The sequence below is a fragment of the Homo sapiens genome, chromosome 1 (assembly GCF_000001405.40).
Source record: "Homo sapiens chromosome 1, GRCh38.p14 Primary Assembly".
Classification (NCBI taxonomy): domain Eukaryota; kingdom Metazoa; phylum Chordata; class Mammalia; order Primates; family Hominidae; genus Homo; species Homo sapiens.
Genome location: NC_000001.11, coordinates 53,887,451 through 53,911,312, shown reverse-complemented (window position 1 = coordinate 53,911,312; position 23,862 = coordinate 53,887,451). Strand labels below are relative to the sequence as shown.

The window sequence follows — 23,862 nt, the reverse complement described above, 5'->3', positions numbered from 1 at the left end:
TTATGTCATGTTATAAAGGTAATTTGATTCCAATGTGAAAAATTATTTCACTCCAGCAGGAGTTCATAAGACAAAACCACATTTAACATGTAACATAGGGCCTGAATGTTCTTCCCCCAAAATGAGGCCCTTTCAGCGTATGGTATTTTTGCTGGTCAGATTACACTGGGTAATCAGATACAAATTGGAAAAGAAAATGTAAAGATCACACGGAAGCCATCCAAAATAGCCTGATATATTTTAATAATTCTGTTATTAGTTTACTGCATCTTATAACATTTTCTTTTGAATCAAGTCACAGCCGTGTGTACTTTAGGCTGTGGCCATCATAAACAAATATGTAAAGACACAGAGTTAAAATAGATGAATACCAATGGCTATCCATCAGTTTGATGTAATCTAACACAAATGACCATTAAGAGACTTGCGAAGAAATCAGAGAAACAGAATTTCACAAATGAGCTTCTGCATAACTGAATGACAGCATTGCTGGTGCCTATTGTTTGGTTTGGTCAAGGTTATGCTTTTGGGAAGCCAACCCTCCCTTCTAGATGACTCTGTTGAAAAGTGAGGCTAGTGGAAGATTTCAGGGTACAGAGAGCTAGATTTCTATGAAATATATTCAAAGATGGTAAAGTGAGTACTCTCCTCTTCCCTGGTAAAATTAGGGATGTGTTACCATGGAAACTCACCCATCATCACCACCAATGTGGACAGGTTTAAATCTTTTGGCAAGGAGAGGATGACTGCCTCCTCCTGTTTCTAATCCCTCCTCTTCCAACTCCTCATCTCTTCCTAACAACTGGAATTCTTCCCATAATTGGTTCTAAAAACTAATTTAGTGTCTTAAATGATCAATTCCATAAATGCAAATTGGGTAAAATGAATTTCCCTAATAGAAGGAATGCCAGCTTGAATTACTTGGTATCAGAGTGGCTGGAGAGAGATACCGTACCTCAGAAGTGTGCCTGTAGAGTGCAACTGCTCTCTCAAAGACCGTGTGCAGGGAATGTGGTCTCCAAAGTGGGAGCAGTGTCAGGCTCTACTTTCTTCAACAGGGAACTGTTTCTTCAACAGGGAACTGGCCTGAACAGCTCAAGTGTTGCTTCATTTTCTGATAATAACAATTTGTCTTGATTGGGTGCTGTGGCCTGCATTCCTCAGCTGGGAGTTGTTTGCTTAGATCAGAAAAATCTGAGCTAGTGATTCAGCTAGGGACACAGGTCAAGGGTAAAAGCCAGCTGGGTCTCAGGGAGAGCTAAGCCTTGAGAAGCCCTCCCGTTGGTCACCTAGAATTGAGGTATCTGTCCAGATTAACTGTGGAGCTTTTCCAGAACAGCACGAACTTCCTCTGGGTTGTAGTTCCAAGGGCCAGATTTACCCTGCAAGAGAAACGAATCAGGCATTCCCAACTTGTAAGGATTTCCAAGTTGTAAGGAACATGTAGGTCTGGAGGTTAGTTGCAAGAGGTGGTCAAATGATGTCTGTGTAGGAGCCATCAGCATGGCTAATTCAATGGCAGATGCAACCGTGAGGTGGTTGAGAAAGTGTGTACAGTGGCATCAGCAGTTAACAGGAAGGTTGGACAGAGAAGTAGAAAAACTAGAGGACATAAAGTGACATAGTCTTTCAAAAAGAGAAGGGTTCTGTACAAATAAGCTTTTCTTCCATAATCAGACCTTCAGACTGGCCTAATCTTCTCCAGCCTTCACATCAAGTTCTACCCATCCTACCTCAGAACCATCTCTGCCTCTCCAGTTCTACTGCCCTAGGTCAGCCCTTTTCATCCTACAGCCTGGGCAGCTGCCACCCCTCCCAGCTATCCCCAGTCCTTAGTCCCTGCTCCCTCCTGTCCATTTTTCAACCAGGAACCAGTGAACTTTTTTCTTTTTTTTTTGAGACAGAGTCTCGCTCTGTTGCCCAGGCTGGAGTGCAATGGCGCAATCTTGATTCACTGCAACCTCTGCCTCCCAGGTTCAAGCAATTCTCCTGCCTCAGCCTCCTGAGTAGCAGGGAATACGGGTGCACTCCACCACGCCTGGCTAATTTTTGTATTTTTAGTAGAGACAGGGTTTCGCCACGTGGGCTAGGCTGGTCTCGAACTCCTGGCCTCAAGTGACCTGCCCGCCTTGGCCTCCCAAAGTGCCGGGATTACAGGTATGAGCCACCACGCCCGGCCATGGAACCAGTGAACTTTCTTTTTCTTTTCTTTTTTTTTTTTGAGAGAGTCTCACTCTGTCGCCCAGGCTGGAGTGCACTGGCACAATCTTTGCTCACTGCAACCTCCGCCTCCCAGGTTCAAACAATTCTCGTGCCTCAGCCTCACAAGTAGCTGGGATTACAGGCACACGCCACCACGCCTGGCTAATTTTTTTGTACTTTTAGTAGAGACAGGGTTTCACCATGTTGGCCAAGCTGGTCTTGAACTCCTGACCTCAGGTGATCTGCCCGGCTCAGCCTCCCAAAGTGCTAGAGTTACAGCCGTGAGCCAGTGAACGTTCTAAGTACAGGTCCGATCATGTCTCTTTCCTGCTCCAAACCCGTCAGTGGCTCTCCTTTGCCCTAAGATGAAGACCAAACCCCTTGGTCTAGAATGAGACCCCTGTGTAACCCCAATGTCTCCAATCGTTTATTCACACTCTGCCCTACTATGCCTCAGTGCCTCCACCCACCCTCTTCCCTATACCGCAGTGATTTTCACTCACTGTGCTCACTAGGCCAACTCCTTATCCTTTAAGGCCCAAGCAATTGCTGCCCCCTCTGAGAAGCCTACCCTTCCCCAGAGGTTGAAAAACTTACAGTCTGAGAGCCAGGTTAGTCCTGATGCCTCACATGCTTTCATTTGCATGTCGTCTGCAGCTGCTGTTGTGCTATAACAGCAGAATTGAATTGTTGCGACAGGGATTACTTGGCACAAAGTTGAAAATATTTACTATCAGGCCCTATACAGAAAAGGCGTGCTGACCCCTGCTCTGGAGTCCCCCAGCAGTTGGGACACTGTAATAGTCTTACTTGGGTCTTCCTTATCCCTCAGCCTGTGAGTACCTTGAAGTAAGGGTGTGGGCCATTTTCTTTTTTTCTTTTTTTTTTTGAGACGGAGTCTCGCTCTGTTGCCAAGACTGGAGTGCAGTGGTGCGATCTCGGCTCACTGCAACCTCCGCCTCCCGGGTTCAAGCAATTCTCCTGCCCCAGCCTCCCAAGTAGCTGGGATTATAGGCACATGCCACCATGCCTGGCTAATTTTTGTATTTTTAGTAGAGACAGGGTTTCACCATGTTGGTCAGGCTGGTCTCGAATTCATGACCTCGTGATCTGCCTGCCTCAGCCTCCCAAAGTGCTGGGATTACAGGCATGAGCCACTGCGCCCGGCCGGTCATTTTTTTTTTTTTTTTTTTTTTTCCGAGACAGAGTTTCACTCTTGTTGCTCAGGCTGGAGTGCAATGGTGCGATCTCTGCTCACCACAACCTCTGCCTCCCGGGTACAAGCGATTCTCCTGCTTCAGCCTCTCAAGTAGCTGGGATTACAGGCATGCGCCACCACGCCTGGCTAATTTTGTATTTTTAGTAGAGACAGGGTTTCACTATGTTGGTCAGGCTGGTCTCCAACTCCCAACCTCAAGTGATCAGCCTGCCTCGGCCTCCCAAAGTGCTGGGATTACAGGCGTAAGCCACTGCACCCGGCTAGGTATGAGTCATTTTCAATTCATTTTTGTGTTTCCAGTATTTGCACAGGGCCTAACCCAAGGTAGGGATTCAGTGCCCAGGGTGCCTCAATCATGCCTGAACCATGTCCCAAGGTACAGGAAAGGATGAAGGACCCACATTCTTCTACTGTGACCCTTGCACCTTGGGAATTTGCCTGCAAGTTTTTGCTTGTTTTATCTGAATAGGTAGGGTCAGCTTGATCTTGATCTGTGGACAGAGGAGCATCCACATACTTGGTTTCATCTGCTCTCCAAGGCTTGAAATCCCTTCAATAGCTTTAAAATGTAGTTTCTACCTTCTTAAGGGAGGCCAAGCCAACTGTGTCTAAAGAGTCAGAGGCTGTGCTTACCTCCCTCACCCTGACCAGGCTGGAACTTTTGAGAGGAAGCAATCACAAGAAAGGGAGCCTGAAATGCATTTCTGCCGCACATCCCTGCGTCCAGCATTTCCAGCTCCAAACCACGGGTTCCATTCCCCTTGAGACTTCTACCCCGCCAGCCCTGGTTCAGGCCTGCCGCAAATGTTAGCAGCTTCAGACCTTCTCATTTCTGGCCCACCCGATCAAGGGCTTTAGAATTGAAATCAGAGCCTTGCCCAGCGTGACCTTGGACAAGTCAATTCCCCTCTCTGAACATTGTTCATAAAACAAAAACAGACCGGGCACGGTGGCTCACGCCTGTTATCCCAACACTTTGGGAGGCCAAGGCGGGCAGATCACTTGAGGCCAGGAGTTCAAGACCAGCCTGGCTAACATGGTGAAACCCCGTCTCTACTAAAAATACAAAAATTAGCTGGGCGTGGTGTGCGCCTGTAGTCCCAGCTACTTGGGAGGCTGAGGCAGGAGAATTGCTTGAACCCGGGAGGTGGAGGTTGCAGTGAGCCAAGGTCACCCCTCTGCACTCCAGCCTGGGCAACAGAGTGAGAGTCTGTCTCAAAAAAAAAAAAGAAAGAAAGAAACCCAAAAAACAGAGAACAAAAACAACATTCTCTGTCTCTGAGTTTGAAACCAGACCAGGACTGGGCCATCATCTGGGTTCAAAAGGAAGCCGGGAGGATGCAGCTCCAGTCCAAATGCTAGGGACATTCGTGTGCATTATTTCATCCCCCGTGAGGTGGAGACCAACATTCCCATTTTGCAGAAGAGGAAATTGAAGGAACTCCAAGAAGTGAAAGCACTCGCCCATGGTCACATGGCTGGTAAGTGGCTGGGTGGTGATTTGAATCCAGTTCTGCTTGATGCAAAGCCTTCTCTTTGCCCTTGCCCTCCCTGGGCCCCTTTGCCCTCCCTGGGCCCCCTGTCCCCAGGTCACCACCTTGTAGAGGATCCTGCCCTCCTGGATTATGTAGAGCCTCTCAGGCAGTGCTGCGTAGAGCTGGCTGCTCTGGTTCTGCATGGTGTCCACCACCACAGGGCACTGGGGGCTCCTGGCCAGCAGTAGATGGGCTGCCTGCAGGCGATCCTGAAGGTTCTGGTGATTTCTGATGTCCATGTTGTTCTTAAAAGCCCAGCCATCTACAAGAGAAAGGCCAGGCACCGAGTCCCATTGACACAGCACACACTTCCTGCAGACTAAATAGCCCCTCACTTTTAACTGAGGTTCTCAGAGGAGCCCTTGGCAATGATTTGGCCTGGTTTCCCATTATGGTTGAATGTGCAAGGTCACGTCAGGAATTAGTGATTGATCCAGAACTGAAGCCCAGGGCTTCTGTCTGCCAGACCCCTGCTCTTCAACGTGAAATAGTCCAATAAACCAGCACTCCTTGATCTTGAATGTGCATGAATCATTTGGGGACCTTGTTATAGGAAGATTCTGATTCGGTCTGTCGAAGGTGGAACTGAGAGTCCATCTAACTCCCAGGATGCCAAGACTGCTGGCGCCTAGACCATACTTGGAGAGGCAAGGGTTTAGATCAGTAGTTCTCTAAGTGTGTGTCCCCAGACTAACAGCATCAGCGTCACCTGGAAGTTTGTTAAGTAGTGCAAACCCTAGGCGTCAGCGTGGATGGACTAGAAATGGGACCCAGACATCTGCGTTTTAACAGCCTTCCAGATGATTCTAATTCATACTGAGTTTAAGTACTATTTTTTCTCCTAATTCTTCACCACAGTGTTCTTTCAAAAATACAAATATAGGCTGGGTGCAGTGGCTCACGACTGTAATTCCAGCACTTTGGGAGGCCGAGGTGGGCAGATTGTTTGAACCTAGGAGTTTGAGACCAGCCCGAGTAACATGGTGAAACTCTGTTTCTACAAAAAATACAAAAAACTAGCTGGGCATGGTGGCGTATGCCTGCAGTACAGCTACTTGGAAGGCTGAGACAGGAGGATCGATTTAGCCCAGGAGGTTGAGGCTGCAGTGAGCCATGTGAGTGCTATTGCATTCCAGCCCCAGCTCAGGCGACAGAACAAGACCCTATCTCAAAAAAAAAAAAAAAAAAAAATAGCCATAAGGCCGTCATTTCACCTGTGACATTTTGGGTCTGAATTCTTTGTAAATGTGTTCAAATCAGTTCTTCTCCCTTGACTTCCCTATTTATCCGATCAAAATGTTAGAATCCTCTCCTAGCCAGACCCTGTCACTCCAGGTGTTCTGCTCTCTGTACCCTGGTTGAAAGCACAGACTGTGAGGTTAGCCCAGTGCAGGGCCTGGGAGTGGTGGGTGCTCAGTGAATAGTGGCTCTTTCCCTCTCCCCTCCTCTTCCTCCTTCCACCTCCCAACCTTGAGATGGGGCCTGGGGAAAAGGGAGAGAGAAAAGACAGTGGGAAGAGGTAGAAGAGGCAGAGAATCTTTCTGTACCTGATGCATGTGCTTCTTCAATGTAAATGACAAGAAAATCTGCTATGGAACTAAAGTCTTCAATAAGCCTCTTGAACTGGTCAAATTTGAACATAAATGAAGGTCAGGTACAACTTCCAAAATTCAGCACCAGTGGCCTATTACCTGAAACAGCAACAACCATCACAAACTGAGACCCTACACACAGCTTTCTTTTACAAGCACCATTTTCACTCCTATGTTCAATTCTGTTATTTTTATTTCCCCCTACCCCCCACCCCAGGATGGGTCCTAGGCACTGGGGTCCGACACCTAGAGAGCATGACTTAGCAGGGGCTGGAGCTGGTTTACTCCTCTCTAAAATGAGAGGTTTTTTTAGGTGGTCTCAGTGGACCACCTGCAGTTGCCGCATAGCAGTTTAAATATAAGAGGAGTCCCTTTCATGCAGTTTATAAGGCAGGTATGCATCCATTCTGTCATGCGATGGGATTAGTAATACTGCAAGGTTGGTCATTTTTTCCCCCCATTTTATAGACAAAGAAACTGAGTTTTACACATTTGCTCCAGGTCACACAGCAGGTCAGTGAGGAGTTAAAATGAACATTCTGGTTTCTGAACTCTCAATTCAGTGCTCTTTCTATTCATAGCACTTCAGTTTCCTCATCCACAAGGGGGGCATAATAATCCTTTGTAGCACTGTTAGGAGGATTAAATAAATTAATAGAGATAAGGGCTTAAACTGGTTACTGGCCCATAGTAGGTGCTTCATAAATATAAGCTGTTGCTATGAGCTTGTATCTCCTCCCTGAGCTATGAAGTAGGGAGGCACCGAAGGCAGCTCCACAAAGAGAGTGAATGCTAGGAGCAGGACCAGCTGCATAATTTGCTGGGCCTGCCGCCAAATGAAAATGCAGGGTTCCTTGTTCAAAAAGTGGGGGAAAGTGCCATTAAATTTATTAAAATATAAAGACGTTTCTTTTTTATTTTTTTGAGATGGAGTCTCACCCAGGCTGGAGTGCAGTGGTGTGATCTCAGCTCACTGCAAACTCCGCCTCCGGGGTTCAAGCGATTCTCCTGCCTCAGCCTCCTGAGTAGCTGGGACTCCAGGTGCACACCACCACACCTGGCTAATTTTTGTATTTTTAGTAGAGACGGGGTTTCACTATGTTGGCCAGGCTGGTCTCAGACTCCTGACCTCAAGTGATCCGCCGGCCTCGGCCTCCCAAAGTGCTGCGATTACAGGCCTGAGCCACCGTGCCCAGCCTGAAATACAAAGACATTTCTAATCTTCTGTAGTCCCTCTCTTGACCTGGCATCGTGTCTTTTAGTTGCTATTTGATGTCATACTCCCCTGGGGTATTCATAGAGTGAGAGCAGATCCTCACAGCTACCCAGCACCCCAGAGACCGAGTGTGTGTGCATTTCCCTTTCCCTCCAGCCACCAGACCAACATGCCATGCCCCGCCCAGCATCACAGAAGTTGAGCCAGACATGGCCCCTTCCCACCTGCCCACCACCCCAACCCACAGGGTATTGCAACCTCTGTAAGGAACATACTAGGTACCTTGATGGGGGAAAGGGTGGGCAAGAGGCTTCCCCCACCCTCAGTCACTTGGCGAATTGCACTATGGCACTGCGAGCCCGGGATGGGGACAGCTGCCATGCAACACTGGGGGACGTGACACCTGACCCCCACCTTCCTCATGTCTGTATCCAGGCCCACTCTGGGGTCAGGAGATGGCAGCAGTCACTGGGTGGAAGCAGGAAGGAGCACCTGGGGATGGGAGAGTGGGCCTTAGAGAACATGTCCTGGAGGGGCAGGGAGGCTGTGGAAGGCAGGAGCCTGTGCAAGCAGAGGCTCCAAGTCCTCAGGGCATGCTCCATTGTCCCGTAGGGTTTCACTTACAAAATGCAGATTCAAAGATAAAATTATGAAGAATTTCAAGACATACTTTACAACTCTGGTGTGCTAAAAACAACAACAGCAACAAAAATTCAAGACAGCTGCTGCAGAACATTAAATCCCAAGGACAAGGCCCTTTTGAGTGTAGGTCCCTGTGTGATTCACTGGTCCCATGTCCATGAAGCCAGCCCTGGGTGGAAGCCTTCTGTAACTCCCCATCCTAGACCAAGGACAACTCTGGGGAGCAGCTGGCCTCCTGTGGTTTCTTACGGCCAGAGCTGACATTGTTGAGCCCTTACCATACATTTATTGGAGCATGGCTAGTCTTGCACTGTGACATGGCCTGTTTAAGTGTCCACATACCCCCAAACCCCCCTACTCATTGTCCCCTGAGGGCAGGGCCTGTTCCTCATTCATCCTCGAATCTCCAGAATGTAGTATACTCTCATCCTATCTACAAATATTTATTCAGCACTTAAAATATGCAAGTCTCCCTGCCACACACTGGGGATTCGGCAGAGAATGAGACCAGCAGCTCTCTGGCTGTGTGCAGTTTGAAGTCTGCTTAGTGGGGAGACAGGCAAAAAAAAGTAAGTAAATGCGTAAATGAAGAAGTTTCAAATTGTGATCAGTGTTACGAGAGAGGCTATAAAGGAGTTACCTATTTTAGACAGGCGGGGCAGGGAAGGCCTTTGAGGAGCTGCCATTTAACCTGAGAAATGAAAAACAGGAGAGAACCAGCCATGGGAAAAGGGAGAAAGGGATTCTAGCCAAAGAGACTCACACAGAGTCCCCAAGGAGGGAGAGAACTTGGTGTGTTCAAGGCCCCACAAAACCACTGGCAGGAACCCGGCATAGAGAGCAACAAGAGAAGGGTTGGAGTGTTAGGGATGGACCAGAGCAGGCAGGCTCCCATAAGCCTTTGTAAAGAATCTGGATTTTATCCTAGGTATGTGGGCTATCATAGGAATATAAAGCAAGGGTGGTGAATATTATTGCATATTTTCTTTTTCATTTTTTTTTTTTTTTGAGAGATGAGATCTTGTTATGTTGCCCAGACTGGAATGCAGTGGCTATTCACAGGTGCCATCATAATACACTACAGCCTTGAACTTCTGGGCTCAAGTGATCCTCCTGCCTCAGCCTTCTGAGTAGCTGGAACTATAGGTGCACTTGACTATATCTGACTTGTTTGTTGCAGTTTTGGCTGCCCAACTCCTAACTCTCCTTCCTACTTAGAATTCCCTATTTTGTATTCTATTTATGAAACAGTGTGCCCAGCCTTGCTCTTTGGAAGACAGAAGGGCCAGGTTCGCACTCTGCCCCTGGCAGCCAGGGCTCAGGCAGTGACCCCAGCTGGGCTAATTATACCCTTCCACATAGATCTTTGATTCTGGGAGTCATTGAGACGGCAGAATTCATCCACAGCCCAGTTGTGGTGCTCCTGTAAGGGATGGTGATGGGTTCCCATGGCAACCACAATGACAGCAGGATCCAGGCCCAACTATTGATGCTAAAAGACAGTCCAATCAAGACCAGCTGATATTGTTTCTGGAAAGCACTCAACACCTTTCCAGTATGTTCCTTTATGTACATATGTGTGTGTGACCAAGAAAACCAGAGGGAGCTTCTGTTGCTTACAAGCCAGAACCTGACTGCTACAGTAGGGCCATGTAATAACCAGATTTACACTTGAAGATCACTCTGGCTGCTCTGTGGAGAAAGGACTAAGAGTGAAAATGAAAGTGAGGGATAAGCAGTTAGGGGGCACTGGAGAAGTCTACATGAAAGACAATGGGTCTGGATGCAGTAGCTCACACCTGTAATCCCAGCATTTTGGGAGGCTGAGGCAGGAGGATCGCTTGAGCCCATGAGTTCAAGACCACCCTGGGCAACACAGTGAGACCTTATCTCTGAAAAAAAAAAAAAAAAAAAAAAAAAAAAAGTTAGCTGGCCCTGGTAGGGTGTGCCTGTAGTCCCAGCTACTCAAGAGGCTGAGGCTGGAGCGTCCATTAAGCCTAAGAGGTTGAGGCTGTAGTCAGCTGTGATTGTGCCATTGCCCTTCAGCCTGGGCCACAGAATGAGACCCTGTCTCTATAAGAGAAAAAGAGAGAAAATGGGCGCCTGGGCTAGCTAGTGTGGGGCAGTGGAGCTGGGGAGAAGGCAGAATTGACAGGGTTTGCAGATAGATGGGGAGTAGAGGGCATCTTAACTTACATGTGGTTTATTTGGTTAACTATACCCCCTCTGTGTTCTGCAAAGAATTTAAAGCTCCTTACACCTATACTAACACATTAAATGGAATTTTTTTATTTTTTATTTTTGAGATGGAGTTTTCCTCTGTCACCCAGGCTGTAGTGCAAAAACGTGATCTCAGCTCACTGCAACCTCCGCCTCCCAAGTTCAAGGAATTCTCCTGCCTCAGCCTCCTAAGTAGCTGGGATTACAAGCGTGCACCACCATGCCTGGCTAATTTTTGTATTTTTAGTAGAGACAGGGTTTCTCCATGTTGGCCAGGATGGTCTTGAACTCCTGACCTCAAGCGATTCACCGGCCTTGGCCTCCCAAAGTGCTGGGATTACAGGCGTGAGCCACTGCGCCTGGCCAGAATTTTTTTTAATCATGCCCCTCTGGGAGGTGTAGAACAGGAGGGGAAAACGGAATACACACAGGCCATAGGTCCCATGCATTTGTTATAACTGAGCTATATTTTGACTCTGAGCTTCCTGGTGGCCAAGTAAAAGAAGAAACAAAATTGGCTTATATTCTCAATTTTTAGCATATGAGAGGAAAGCAGACTAGTTTCACTGGACATACGAAGCCCCTCTCCTTGTCCTTGGGTCAGACTTTTTCTTAAAAGGCCTGAGGAGGCATTGAGTGGCCTCAGTCTCTGCTGGTTGACTGCACTATGATTTCTCACCCATGTGACAAGGAGGCCCAGGCTTCAGGAGGGCAGCTCAGAGGTCAATTGTGGCCAAGTGGCTGGTCACTGGCCTCCAATGACCCCAGAGAGTCACTCTGTCACTCTTTAGGTAGGAACCCAAAAAGCCTGGGCAACATAGCAGGACCCTGTCTCTTAAAAAAAAATTATCCAGGCGTGGTGACACATGTCTAGTCCCAGCTACTTGGGAGGCTGAGGCAGCAAGACTGCTTGAGCCCAGGAATGAGGCTGCTGTGAGCTACGATCGTGCCATTGCACTCCAGCCTGGGCAACAGCATGAGACCCCATCTCAATAAAAATAAAAAATAAAGAACCCAAAAGACTTATGGTCATGATCAACTCTAAGTATCAGCTGTATGAAATTTTGTTTTTAATTGGGAAAAAAACTCAACATCCACTGATTCAGACCCTGGAAGAGACAGAGCCATTTGTTTAATTATTTATAGTGTGGTTGGGTACAGTGGTCAGTATTGAGGGCAAAGTTTAAACTAAGCTCTCTGCTTTCCTCAGCAGCAGAGAGGTAAAGGATGGGTGCATGGGGGCTGGCACCCTGCCCATGTCCACAGACCACAGTGCAGAGAACACCATTTCGAGAATCCAGTGAAGACTATCAAGTCCAACTCCTTTGTATAAATGGGAAAACAGCCCAGACCAGTAAATTAACCCCCATGTCAGGATCTGTCAGCAGAGAAATCCTATTTATAGTTATTGGACAACACTTGTAAGTACAGCTGGAAAGACGTTAGAAGATTTTAAACAGGGGCTGAAATGAAGCCAATTTCAGATTAACTCTCAGGTATCCAGAAAGTAAATCATCCAGAACTTGCCTTCTGCCACACCATGCCAGTTACTCGATGTTTTGTTCTGTGTGTGTCCAAGAGTGTGTGTATATTGTGTGTGTGTGCGTGTGTGGACGCACAGAGGGCTGGAGGTGGCTGAGAGTTTCCCTGAGCTCCTGCTGTCGTATCCAGTAGCAGCAAGTGCACGAGCTGAGAGTCAGAAGTCTAGTTCTGGCTCTTCTAAGAACTCACTGTGTGACTCTAAGCGAGTCATTCACCTCTCTGGACTTTTGCATCTCAAAAACGAAGCGGTTGCTTTAGATTATCAGTAAAGATTCTTCACGTCTCTCTGTCTCTGGCTCTGAGTTCAGAGTTTATACCCAAAGCATACAACAGAGCTTTTTGGTGGCCTGGTGGGTTTCCAAAGTAGTTACAACATGTCTCTTTTTTTTTTTTTTTTTTTGAGACAGAGTCTCGCTTTGTTGCCCAGGCTGGAGTGCAGTGGCGCAATCTCAGCTCACTACAAACTCCACCTCCCGGGTTCAAGCAATTCTCCTGCCTCAGCCTCCCAAGGAGCTGGGATTACAGGCGCATGCCACGATGCCCGGCTAATTTTTGTATTTTTAGTAGAGACAGGATTTCATCAGGTTGGCCAGGCTGGTCTCGAACTCCTGACATCAAGTGACCCGCTGGCCTCGGCCTCCCAAAGTGCTGGGATTACAGGTGTGAGCCACCATGCTCGGCCAATGTCTTTCTAATAAGCAGAACTGATCATGTTTACTTCTCTCTTGGAAACCCTTCCAGAACTCACCAGTACTCTCAGGATAAAGTCAACCTGCAGCTACGACACACAAGGCCCCGTAAGCTCTGGTTCCTGATGATGCCTTCAGCCTCATCCTTCACCCCTTCCTGCCTCTGGGACCCCACTTGTGCCAAACTGAATGTTGCTTCTCCACATCTCAGACCTCTGCTGCTCCTCCTCTGTGCCCTGCCCTGCTTTCCATTCCCCTCTTCCTCACCCACCCCAAGGTTTCACTGTCCCTAGACAATCAGCACACCATCCTCTCCTCCAGGAAGCTTTCCCTTGGCCACCTCCTTACCCTACTCTTAACAGGGTTCCTGCCCCCAGTGCCCTCTGCTTCCCTGTCACGACACCATCTCTCACTCTGAGTTATGAGGCCTTCCAGGGCAGAGGCCCATGGTGTTTATTTCCGTATTGTTAGTACCTATGATTTCAGGGGACTTTGGGTTAATGTGCTGAAAGTAAACTCTATTTTGCAAATAGATTTTTCTTTTGCTTCAGTCCCCTCCTCTTACCATTAAAAATTTTTAATTTTATTTACTTATTTATTTTTGAGACAAGGTCTTAACTCTGTTACCTAGGCTGGAGTGCACTAGCATGAACATGGCTCACTGAAGCCTCGACCTCCTGGGCTTAAGTGACCCCCCCAACTCAGCCTCCTGAGTAGCTGGGACTACAGGCTCACACCACCTCATCCCACTAATTTTTAAATATTTTGTAGAGACAGGGTTCCACTCTGTTGCACAGGCTGTTCTTGAACTCCTGGGTTCAAGCAATCCTCCCACTCAGCCGCTCACAGTGCTGGGATTACAGGCATGGGCCACTGCAACTGGTCACTCCTACCAATTTTCAGTCTCAGCTGCAGCAGCAGGGAGCAGAGACAAACTGAACAGTTTTTATTTTATTTTATATTTTATTTTATTTTATTTTAAGACAGAGTCTCGCTGTGTCACCCAGGCTGGAGTGCAGTGGTGCGATCTCGGCTCACTGCAACCTCTGCCTCCTGGGTTCAAGTGATTCTCATGCCTCAGCCTTCTGAGTAGCTGGGATTATAGGTGCATGCCACCATGCCTGGCTGATTTTTGTATTTTTAGTAGAGACGAGGTTTCATCATGTTGGCCAGGCTGGTCTTGAACTTCTGACCTCAAGTGATCTGCCCGCCTCAGCCTCCCAAAGTGCTGGAATTAAAGGCGTGAGCCACGGGGCTCAGACCAAATTCAACAGTCTTTAAAATGTAAACTGCCTCACTGAAAGTGGACAGTTACATGATGCAAGTACATTCCATGAATTGGCCATGAGGCAAGCTGGCTTTCAGGGAACTGAACTGCAGATGACTGGCATTCAGCAAATTGGCCTGGTTCTGTTACAGTGCTTGGCACATGGGCATGTGGTAAGTTAGTTATTACCATTGCTCTTACTACCAATGGAATTAGTGAACATTTGTTGAATAAACTGAGGTCATTTGTGCACTGTGGTTTAAAATTATGAATGAACAGCAAAACAAAAGAAGCTCCTGCCTTCCCCTCTAAAACACTCTTCCCTTTTTCCTTGTCAGGCTACAAAAATCTGACTCATTCTTCAAGACCTAGTTCCAGAGCCACCTCCTCCAGGAAAACTTCCAAGTCCTCCAGGCAAAAGTTCTATTTTTTTATAGCCTCCCCCATTTCATAGGACTGTAAGGATTTGTTTATTACCTCCATCTGTTCTATGGAACTGTAAACTCCTCATGTGCATACACTCATGTGCACATGAAATTGCACATGAAATTGCATAGGAGGGGGATATAGTATTCAGGGTTTCCCAACTACTTTGACCAGGCAACACTACATAGTAAAGCATATCTGTGGAACTTAGGTTCTAAAGAACATTCTTTCAAAAACACAGGATAGGCCAGGCACAGTGGCTCATGCCTGTAATCCCAGCATTTTGGAAGGCCGAAGTGGGTGGATCACTTGAGTCCAGGAGTTCGAGACCAGCCTGGGCAACATGGTGAAACCCCACCTCTACAAAAAATGCAAAAATTAGCCGAGCATTGTGGTGTGCACTTGTTGTCCCAGGTACTAAGGAGGCTAAGGTGGGAGGATGGCTTGAGCCTGGTAAATCGAGGATGCAGTGAGTCGTGATCATACCCCTACACTCCAGCGTGGGCAGTAGAGTGAGACTCTGTCTCAAAAAAAAAAAAAAAAAAAAAAAAAGAGAAAAAGAAAAACAAGAAAAACACGGAATAAACCAACTGCCTCAGGTGCCTTCTCTACCTGCTGCATCTAGGCCCTGGGCCGAGCATGCTGAGGAATCCAGAGATAAATCAGACACACACCCTCTCCTGAGGCTCTCCACTGGGCAGGGAAATAAGACTTGTGCTTAGGTACCAGGTGCTGAGCAGGAAGCAGCAGTGTCCAAGGAGAGGTGCAGACAGAGAGCCATGAGCCGAAGGGAGAGAGCACATGCCTAGCTGTAGGAAGCTGAGGTGGCTTCATGGAGGACAAGGTGTCAGGAGAGCTGGACCCACATGAATGAGGGGGATATAGACGACGATGGAGAGGGGAAGGGCATTCTTGACCAGCCGATGTCAGCAAAGGCAAAGACAAGGGAAAGTACAAGAGATGTACAAGGCCCAACAGTTTGTCCGAAAGAAATGAGTGTGGCGGGGAGCTCAGAGGTAGAATTGAGAAGAAAAGCTAGAGCCTGACCAGGGAGGACCTGGAATCCAAGGCTGAGCCTGGGCTTCATCCTAAATGCAGAGGGGAGCTGCTGAAAGTGGTTGAGCTGGTATGTACTCAGAGAAGAGCAATCTGGCAGCCATTCACAAGCTGGGCTGGCTGAGTGGGCAAGTCGGGGAGAAGGAAGTTCTGGCAGGAAGAGAAGCTGGGAGGACAAAAAAGAGAAAACTGGAACGGTCAAGAACTCAAGTCGACGAAACTGGTTTTCCTGGACTGGGGAGTGGATGGAGTTAGAGAGAGAAAACTGAGACTTTTTTAAATTTGTGACAGCGTCTCACTCTGTTGCCCAGGCTGGAATGCAGTGGCACAATCTTGACTCACTGCAATCTCCGCCACCGGGGTTCAAGAGATTCTTCTGCCTCAGCCTCCCGAGTAGCTGGGATTACAGGTGCACACCACCACGCCTGGCTAATTTTTGTATTTTTAGTAGAGACGGGGTTTCATCATGTTGGCCAGGATGGTCTCGAACTCCTGACCTCATGATCTGCCAGCCTCAATCTCCCAAAGTGCCGGGATTACAGGCGTGAACCATCACGCCCAGCCGAGAGCTCTTTAACAAGTATTTACTGAGCAGCTACCATGTGCCACCATCAGGCATGGGTGTAATAGTGGGTGAGAGCAATGGTCTCGACCTGCATTGAGTTTGCAGACTAGTGAGGGAAGCAGACATGAATCCTAGCCAGCCGTACATAATTACAAACCGCGACAGGTGTAATAAAGAAAAGTTTAGGATGTTAAGCAGGCAGATGAGAGAGGGTAGCCTAGTATGGGAGAGTTGGGCTTGGCTTCTCGAAAGAAGCGTCATTGAGCAACAGTCTGAAGATTGAACAAGAGTTAACCAGGCAGAGAGGTGGGCAAAGAGCAGCCCAGGCAGATCAGCCTGTACAGTAAGAGCAGTGTTCCAGGGGCTGAAATGCCAGACTGGATGGTTTGTGATTTGAGTGCCTGGGAAGGTGGTGATGTTACTTAGAGAAACAATCCACAAGAAGTTCTAGTTTCAGGAAGCAGGAAGAGGACAAGAAGGTCCAAAAGGAGCAGCAAAAGTAGTAGGAGAATTCAGGACTTTCCAACCCATCTCTTCATCCCCCTCTACCACTGCTATTTCAAGCACCCCTCAAGTGTGTGGCAGCCTCCTGACCTTGCATAAACTCCCAAATGTTGCACCTCTGTCCTGAGAGGCGGACCACCGGGCAGTTTGGGGCCAGACCCCCTAGCTCAGTCGTGTCCTCTAGTCGCTGCCAACGGACCTTCAAGACGAACCAGAAATACTGGGTGCTGAAAAAGGTTGGTATCCAGTTGTCGTGGCTGAAATGGGGGTTCCTGGTCATACCCGTCTTCTCGCCCATGGCCAGGATGTTCCGCTTGACTCTGTCTGGAAACAATATCAGAAGCACTTTACCCACGACCACATGCACAGCCACCTCCAAGAGCACCCAGAGCCTCTTCAGCCACAGCCCTGGCTGGGGCAGCCCCATCTCGGCAAAGCCAGAGTAAGCTCTGAGTTCTATGGGCAGAGAGGCTGCAGCCAGGCAACACTGGGCGGAGCTGAATGAAGGTGCAGGGTAGGAGCAGCCAACCCCGGGTCAGGGGAAGGAGTCAGGTCAGAAGATGTTTGCCTTTCTGTCATGAGATAGAAAATTCCTAACCAGGTGCACAAAGGTCTGTTTTAATCATTATCATTTCCAATTCTTTGCCTGAGCTTTTGAGAGATTCTTGGATTGGTAGATTCCACATCTTAAATTCTCCCTCTGATTAATTTTTTAAAAAACAAGTACTTAAAAAGACCACACTTAAAGAGAACCTGTTAGATGCTCTCTCACAAGTCAGTAGATTTGGCTATTAGTTATTCTTTATACACAAACTCTTCTTTTACTAATGAAAGATGTTTTTCCCAACAAAGATCTTTGTTTTCCCAACAAACATCCATGGTTTTTTGTTGTTGTTGCTGGAGATGGAGTCTCGCTCTGTCGCCCAGGCTGGAGTGCAGTGGCACGATCTTGGCTCACTGCAACCTCTGCCTCCCAGGTTCAAGCAGTTATCCTGCCTCAACCTCCTGAGTAGCTGGGATTACAGGCGCCTGCCACCACGCCTGGCTAATTTTTGTATTTTTAGTAGAGACAGGGTTTCACCGTGTTGGTCAGGCTGGTCTTGAACTCCTGACCTCAGATGACCTACCCGCCTTGGCCTCCAAAAGTGCTGGGATTACAGGCTCGAGCCACCGCACCCGGCCCCCAATCATGGCTTCTAGCTGGTGGTTGACTATTTCTGTAGTCAGAGCCCTCCCCAGGGGATATGGATCTCAAACCTCCCAGGGCAGAGACAGAAATGGGACCATTTCTAACAAAACCTGGGGCCTGCAACTCCCCTTAGCACTGGGCATAGAGTGACAAATAAAACACCCTCTTCTCTCAAGGAAGTCATGGTCTAGTGCGGGGAATAGACAAGTAAACAAAAAACTACCATTTCCTAAATGAAGTCCAGAGGCGGAGGGTGTGCGTGGGCTACGAGAGCAGGGAGAAGGGGAAGCTAATTCTGGTTAGAGAAGTCAAGAGGACTTCACTGAGGAAGTGATTTCTATGCTGAAACCAGAAAGACGGCAAGCAGTCAGCTGGCTAAAGTGGGGATAGTGTCCTGGTGGAAGGAACCACATGGCCAAAGGCCCAGAAGCCAGAGACAGCATGGCTCATTGGAGAAACTGAAAGAAGAATCATAGAGCTCAGAGTTGGGAAGTGTTTTAAAATACACCCAAGACCTTTTTTTTTTTAAATAATTGAGACGGGGTTTCCTTCCTCTGTCACCAGGCTGGAGGGCAGTGGTGTGATCATAGCTCACTGCAGCCTCAAACTCCTGGCTCAAGCCATCCTCTCACCTCAGCCAGAGTAGTTAGGACTACAGGAGTGCCACCCAAACCCGGCAAATTTTGTGACTGTTATAGCTTCTCCTTATGTTGCCCAGGCTGGTCTTGAACTCTTGACCTCAAACAATCCTCCTTCCTTGATCTCTCAAAATGCTGGGATTATGGGAATGAGCCACCATGCCCAGCCCCCAACTTCTTAAAGTAATCAGGGCTGATTTTCCCCACCATGTGTCACTCTTTATTTATTTATTTTTGAGACAGAGCCTCGCTCTGTTGTCCAGGCTGGAGTGTAGTGGCACAATCTCGGCTCACTGCAACCTCCGCCTCCCAGGTTCAAGCAATTCTCCTGCCTCAGCCTCCCAAGTAGCTGGGATTACAGGCGTGTGCCACCATGCCCAGCTAATTTTTGTGTTTTCAGTAGAGATGGGTTTCGCCATGTTGGCCAGGTTGGTCTCGAATTCCTGACCTCAGGTGATCCGCCCACCTTGGCCTCCGAAAGTGCTGGGATTACAGGCGTGAGACACCGCGCCCAGCCGGCACTCTTTTCTTTACCTGCTGGTGCAGTGGTATGAGAAGCCAAAAATGCCTAAGTGGTAGTTACAGCTTCCAATTCAGTGGAACTGTAACTGGAATGGAAGTGTTCTCTCTCCGCCTTCCCTGCTTCCCTGGGACCAGGATCTCCAACCAAGCAGAACTTAAACTTGTGACGCAGGAGGCACACATTCTATGTGTGTAGGTTTCACTGAAAGTGATAGTAAGAAGTGCTACCCCTTGGTTTGCAAATCTATAGGTATTTAGAACAAAGTACCATTATAAATAATTGATAAACCATTGGTTTAGTACATGTACTACATGCCGGAGGACAATGCCCCAGTCTCCTGAGTATTTTCCCCAACCTGGAGCCCTAACTGTGCCTTTAACAAGCCATTCCACCATCCTATTAGGCCACCTACTATTGGATGACTGAGTCACATGGTAAGACCAGTGGGTAAGACCCATGGTTATGTGTCACTGTTGCATGTTCTTTACAATTAAATTGGTCCCTTAGTCCAAAGCAATGTTGTGCAGGTAATCATTGCAGGATCCGTAAGCAAGAGGACTTTGCTTTCCTTTAACAAGGGGGAAAGGACTACTTCTGCCACAGCCACCTTTCCCTTGAAAGATTCAAGGGAAACTGGAAACGAGGGATGGTCAAGTCTCAGGCTTTCCTACCCAAATATCCTCATCCCAGTTCTCAGGTTCCCATTCATTTTCTGACAATGCCCCAGCTTTGATGGAGGAGACCTACAGAGGCTGTGCATTCAGTCTTCGTTGAAACTTTGCCACCCTTACAATTAGATCTTGGGCCTGATTTTCAGTCCAGTCTTTCTCAAGGCTATAGAAGAATAAGAATCTTCAAAGCTGCCATAGAGGCTCTCTAGCTTTCACAAAGTGCCTCAAGTTGACAGTTGGCTGTTCTAAGTCTGTCATTTTATTTTCAAGGTTTCCAATGGAGTTAAGAACACCCAGTCCATTCCATAGTCCTTATAATTACCATTGTCCTCTTAATGTTCCTGTGCCACAGCCACTAGATAACTCAGCACCTTATCTTCTACCTGCACGTTATCCCAATCAACTGCAGACAGACACCTTAGTAATTGTGATGCCATTCTATTCTAAGTGTTATCACACCACCACCACCCCCCTCCTTCTCTCTCCCCTTAACACCAGCAATATATTTGTTGTTGCCATGTGACTGGTGCGCAGTTCAGTTAGAAAATGCCAACCTAAGGTTTTATTTTCTGGGGCCACTTTTGGTACCAACATGCCTTCATATTGCTTCCTCATATGAGTAGTTTATTGGCAAGTATGAATCCAAGCACCAGGAGTGAAGTACAGGGCTTGTATATCAGGGAAGGAAGGAGACCCATTGCGAAGATGCATTGTCAAATGCGTCACTTCCAAAGGCATTTGGTTGCTTAATCCTGCTAGGTAGTTTGAAAGCTATATGAAAGGGCGCCTGAGGGGGAAAAACAGGAAAAGCATATATTCATCAAGTGTTGACCCCATTGGTCAGAGATTTGCCTCATGAGACATTAACAACTCTCTACCCCTACACTTCTGGGATGCACCTGTCTGGGTGCTGATTGGCTCCAGCAAGGTCCCATGGCCCCATCGCATGAAGAAACAAGCCTCGAAGCAGAAAGTGAGAAGCCTGAGGCATAGACTGGAGGCAAGCTCACTCAGGTTATATCTGCTGACGCTGGAATAAGATGAGTGGCGGTGAAATAAGCAGCAGGTGAGGCCAAGATGATCTGAAATGGGACATAAGAGGTGGCTGATATACTAGCACAGCTGAATTCATGAACTGAGATTCATTCCTGGTACATACTCAACCAAAAGTGCCCTGCACATGCTCTAAGCCTCAGCTTTCTCTTTGTAAAATGAGGATAATCACCCCAAGATAGCAGGATTGTTCTGAGAATTAGAGATCCTGCATGTACAAAGCCTGATCATGATCATCTTGGGGAAAAAAATACACTATATATGGCTATTATTAGATGTAAAGTCTTTCCAAGCGCTCACTTACTGGGGGTGCTCATACGAACAGACATCGCGCTTTCGATCACTCATTCAGAATGTAATTGACTCATCATGTACTTTCTCACCAGTGAAATTTTTGTGGCCAAAAGAAACTGAGGGACTGGTGACGCGGGTGACTTAATTTTTTCTTTCACAATCGTCTTTCATCACCCGATTTTATATTTCCTTAGGAAAAGAGGTATAAACACACAGTAAGAAAACCCTAAACTCGAGAATTTTCTACGTTCCCTGGAGCAAGGCCAGCCCAAGTAGTCACACTCAGCGACCCCACCACTCCGCCCTCGCCTGTCTCTTTAAGAACTCGAGGCTCAGCCTCGGGAGAAGGGCGGGCGGGAGCGGGCTCTGCGCGCCGCAGCACGCAGGTTTCTCTGGGAGCTGCTGTCTCTTTAAGGAGGCGGGGCTCTTCCCGGAGGAGGCGGAGAGGTTCCGCCCCCCGGATCTCCGGCTTCCGGCAACTGGGCTGGACCGAAACCGGCGCGGAGCAACTGAGGCCCGAGCCTTCTCGGGACCCGGGGGACGCCTAACCCCGCGAGGTGAGGCTGCCGAGTTTGCGGGACCTGTACGAGGCTAAGGGGGTTCAGGATCTCCTGCCCGCCCGGGCCGCCGCGGCCCAGCTCCTCTCCCTGAAACACTGCCTCTGCTTCGCGGTGTCCCGGGCTGCAGGGTCGCCGACACCCCATTGCCTACTAATTGCCTGACTCCGCTCTAGGCTCCTTACACGCACTCCCATTTAATGACCCCCGCACTGTGTGACTAGGTATCGTTATGCACCCATTTTACAGATGAGGAAACTGAGGCCGCGAGGAGCGCGCATACAGCAGAGAAGCAGCAGAATCGGGAATCAAACCCAGCTCTGTCTGACCCCAGAGCCTGTGCCTTTAACCACTGGCTAGGCTGAACTGCCTTTGTTCTTCACTGTCCCCATCACCTCTTTCAAACCTCAGCCTCTCCTTCCTCATCGTTACATCTCTAGGCTGCACCTGCTCTCTAAACATTCACACAGTGAGTTGAGATTCATTCCTGGTACATACACAACCAAATAAGGTTGAATTGGAACCTTTGGATCCCCGGGGTTAGTTTCTTTGTTACAGTTTTAATATTTAATAATACCTGATGCTTAGTGGTTATCTTTATATAAACCTATTAAACCCCACTGAAAAGGGAGGCAAGGGAAAGTGATACCATTTCTAATACATAAGAGTTGTTTGCAGATACTTTATACTGTCATCCTATTATGTTTACCTATTTTTTTCTTTTAGAACCCTGCAAATTTTCTTCCTCATAATTGGGAGAAGACTCACTGGCCGAATGGCAGCAGTAGATGACTTGCAATTTGAAGGTATACCAGTTGGGTGCCCACCTTTATATTTATGATCACTGTTGCTACAGTCACAGCAAGTATTTTCATTCCTATACTGCCTCACACATTGAAGGATATTATTTCAAACATCTTGGTGGCTGTTGGCCACATCCAGGTGTTTCCTGTTTGTCCACACCAGCTGTTTTTGTTTTTGTTTTTTTTGCCAGATAACCCTTCAGATTGGTAACGAGTATCATAAATTTAGTACAGTGATTACAGAAAATGCTTACACAGTTCCTGCTTTAGTTCAGAAAACATTTATTGAGCACTTACTTTGTGCTTAGAACCGTACAAGATACTGGAGACAAAAAGATGAAGAAGTTTATCCACTGGTGGAGTAGATAAAAATGTAAAAAGATCATTAGGATGAAATGTGATCAGATCATTCCCTCATTGAATCAGTAAATATCTCCTGGTTGTGACCAGGAACCGGGCAATTGTTCTAGTTATCAGGGATAGAAGAGTGAACAAAATAGTTTCCTTGTGAAGCTCTCAGTCTAGTGAGGGGGACATGTATTTATTAAATGATCATTTAAATATATACCTACAAACTATGAAAGTGCTGGAGGAAAAGTTCAAGGAGATATTAGGACTCATAACCCAGAGCCTGACTTAGGCTAGGGATTGATGAACACTTGTTTGTTTGTTTGTTTGTTTCTTTTGATGGAGTCTCACTCTGTTGCCCAGGCTGGAGTGCCTTGGCTCGATCTTGGCTTGCTGCAACCTCTGCCTCCCGGGTTCAGACGATTCTCCTGCCTCAGCCTTCTGAGTAGCTGGAACTACAGGTGCCCGTCACCACACCCGACTAATTTTTGTATTTTTAGTAGAGACGGGGCTTCACCATATTGGCCAGGCTGGTCTCGAACTTCTGACCTTGTGATCCACCCATCTTGGCCTTCCAAAGTGCTGGGATTACAGGCATGAACCACCAGGCCTGGCCCACTTACTTGTTTTATTAACACCTTACCTAACATTTACTATATGTCAGGCACTGTTCTAAATCCTGTACAGATAATCCTTATGTCAACTTTATGAAATAGTTACTTTATTCCCCTGTTTTATTAATGAGGAGACTGAGGCACAGAAAAATAATTTGCCTAATGGTCACGCAGTTAGTAAGGGATAAAATCAGGATTTGAACCCATCCAGTCTGGTATCACAGCTTATGCTGTCTCTGTTATCTAAGGAAGAGATACACTGTTTAAAGATAAATCTATTTCATTTGCAAGTACTAGAAATCCACCTCAATTTGCAAATACTGTCAACCTCGTCTTCAAAATTCATCTAGCATCTGACCACCTCCACCACTACTCTCACCATGCTCAAGGTCACTGTCACCTTTTTTCTGAATTATAGCCTTTACCTTCCTTCTGGTCTTTCTGCTTCCTCCCTTATCCCTCTACAGTCTGTACTTTGCAGCCAGAGTAGTCCTTCT

The 23,862-nt window shown here is 47.5% G+C and overlaps 2 protein-coding genes and 1 long non-coding RNA gene across 12 annotated transcripts in view, besides 6 other annotated features; 2 read left to right on the top strand and 1 right to left on the bottom strand.

The window, feature by feature from the left end:
* DIO1 (iodothyronine deiodinase 1) lies at nt 227-17,126 on the bottom strand. Of its 7 annotated transcripts, NR_136693.2 has the most exons (5): nt 16,958-17,126; nt 16,766-16,874; nt 6,504-6,647; nt 5,019-5,218; nt 227-1,382 (listed from the first exon to the last, which is right to left on the bottom strand). NR_136693.2 is itself a non-coding variant. In NM_000792.7 (4 exons), the coding sequence occupies exons 1-4, from the start codon at nt 17,100-17,102 to the stop codon at nt 1,314-1,316; spliced, it is 750 nt and encodes a 249-aa protein (NP_000783.2). In that variant the 5' UTR covers nt 17,103-17,126; the 3' UTR covers nt 227-1,313. The 7 variants fall into 7 exon arrangements, 5 of the variants coding, with proteins under 5 accessions (NP_000783.2, NP_998758.1, NP_001034805.1 ...); NR_136692.2 differs by lacking the exon at nt 16,766-16,874 and having other exon boundaries at nt 16,875-17,126; NM_000792.7 differs by having other exon boundaries at nt 16,766-17,126.
* Nucleotides 4,615-14,756, top strand: LOC124904180 (uncharacterized). The gene is made up of 2 exons (XR_007066095.1): nt 4,615-4,902; nt 14,463-14,756. It is a non-coding gene; the product is annotated as an uncharacterized LOC124904180 (long non-coding RNA).
* Nucleotides 16,539-17,039: an enhancer, noted in NCBI's record as "H3K4me1 hESC enhancer chr1:54359947-54360447 (GRCh37/hg19 assembly coordinates)". NCBI's record gives its function as "activates a minimal SCP1, AML or CMV promoter by ChIP-STARR-seq in naive H9 embryonic stem cells {active_cell/tissue: H9 hESC(naive)}" and the evidence as "EXISTENCE:reporter gene assay evidence [ECO:0000049][PMID:30033119]".
* Nucleotides 16,539-17,055: a biological region, named in NCBI's record as "H3K4me1 hESC enhancer GRCh37_chr1:54359947-54360447".
* Nucleotides 16,926-17,055: an enhancer, noted in NCBI's record as "active region_1051". NCBI's record gives its function as "activates an Ori minimal core promoter by ATAC-STARR-seq in GM12878 lymphoblastoid cells {active_cell/tissue: GM12878}" and the evidence as "EXISTENCE:reporter gene assay evidence [ECO:0000049][PMID:35858748]".
* Nucleotides 17,040-17,540: an enhancer, noted in NCBI's record as "H3K4me1 hESC enhancer chr1:54359446-54359946 (GRCh37/hg19 assembly coordinates)". NCBI's record gives its function as "activates a minimal SCP1, AML or CMV promoter by ChIP-STARR-seq in naive H9 embryonic stem cells {active_cell/tissue: H9 hESC(naive)}" and the evidence as "EXISTENCE:reporter gene assay evidence [ECO:0000049][PMID:30033119]".
* Nucleotides 21,283-21,577: an enhancer, noted in NCBI's record as "tiled region #3939; HepG2 Activating DNase unmatched - State 1:Tss, and K562 Activating DNase matched - State 1:Tss". NCBI's record gives its function as "activates a minimal TATA promoter and a strong SV40 promoter by Sharpr-MPRA in HepG2 and K562 cells {active_cell/tissue: HepG2 | K562}" and the evidence as "EXISTENCE:reporter gene assay evidence [ECO:0000049][PMID:27701403]".
* YIPF1 (Yip1 domain family member 1) overlaps nt 21,516-23,862 on the top strand; it is a 38,065-nt gene continuing 35,718 nt past the window's right edge. For 2 of the 4 annotated variants that reach the window (NR_036639.2, NM_018982.5), the window contains exons 1-3: nt 21,516-21,600; nt 21,850-22,069; nt 22,327-22,406. Coding sequence is in view for 1 of the 4 variants with exons in the window: in NM_018982.5 (NP_061855.1) it covers nt 22,376-22,406 (31 nt within the window). In the remaining 3 variants the exon portion in view is untranslated. The remainder of the gene's footprint in view (nt 21,601-21,849; nt 22,070-22,326; nt 22,407-23,862) is intronic. The other 2 variants (NR_036640.2, NR_135075.2) reach the window with 2 other exon arrangements.
* Nucleotides 22,463-22,757: a silencer, noted in NCBI's record as "tiled region #6831; HepG2 Repressive non-DNase unmatched - State 16:ElonW". NCBI's record gives its function as "represses a minimal TATA promoter and a strong SV40 promoter by Sharpr-MPRA in HepG2 cells {active_cell/tissue: HepG2}" and the evidence as "EXISTENCE:reporter gene assay evidence [ECO:0000049][PMID:27701403]".

What these genes read in the sequence shown, in the direction of transcription:
- DIO1 (NM_001039715.3), bottom strand. Translation starts at nt 17,102, where the DNA reads ATGGGGCTGCCCCAGCCAGGGCTGTGGCTGAAGAGGCTCTGGGTGCTC. An exon ending in CATTTGGGAGTTTATGCAAG is followed by an intron (nt 5,219 to 16,765) that starts GTCAGGAGGCTG and finishes TTTCTCTTGTAG; the next exon opens with ATGGCTGGGCTTTTAAGAAC. An exon ending in AGGGCAGGATCCTCTACAAG is followed by an intron (nt 1,383 to 5,018) that starts GTGGTGACCTGG and finishes TTTCTCTTGCAG; the next exon opens with GGTAAATCTGGCCCTTGGAA.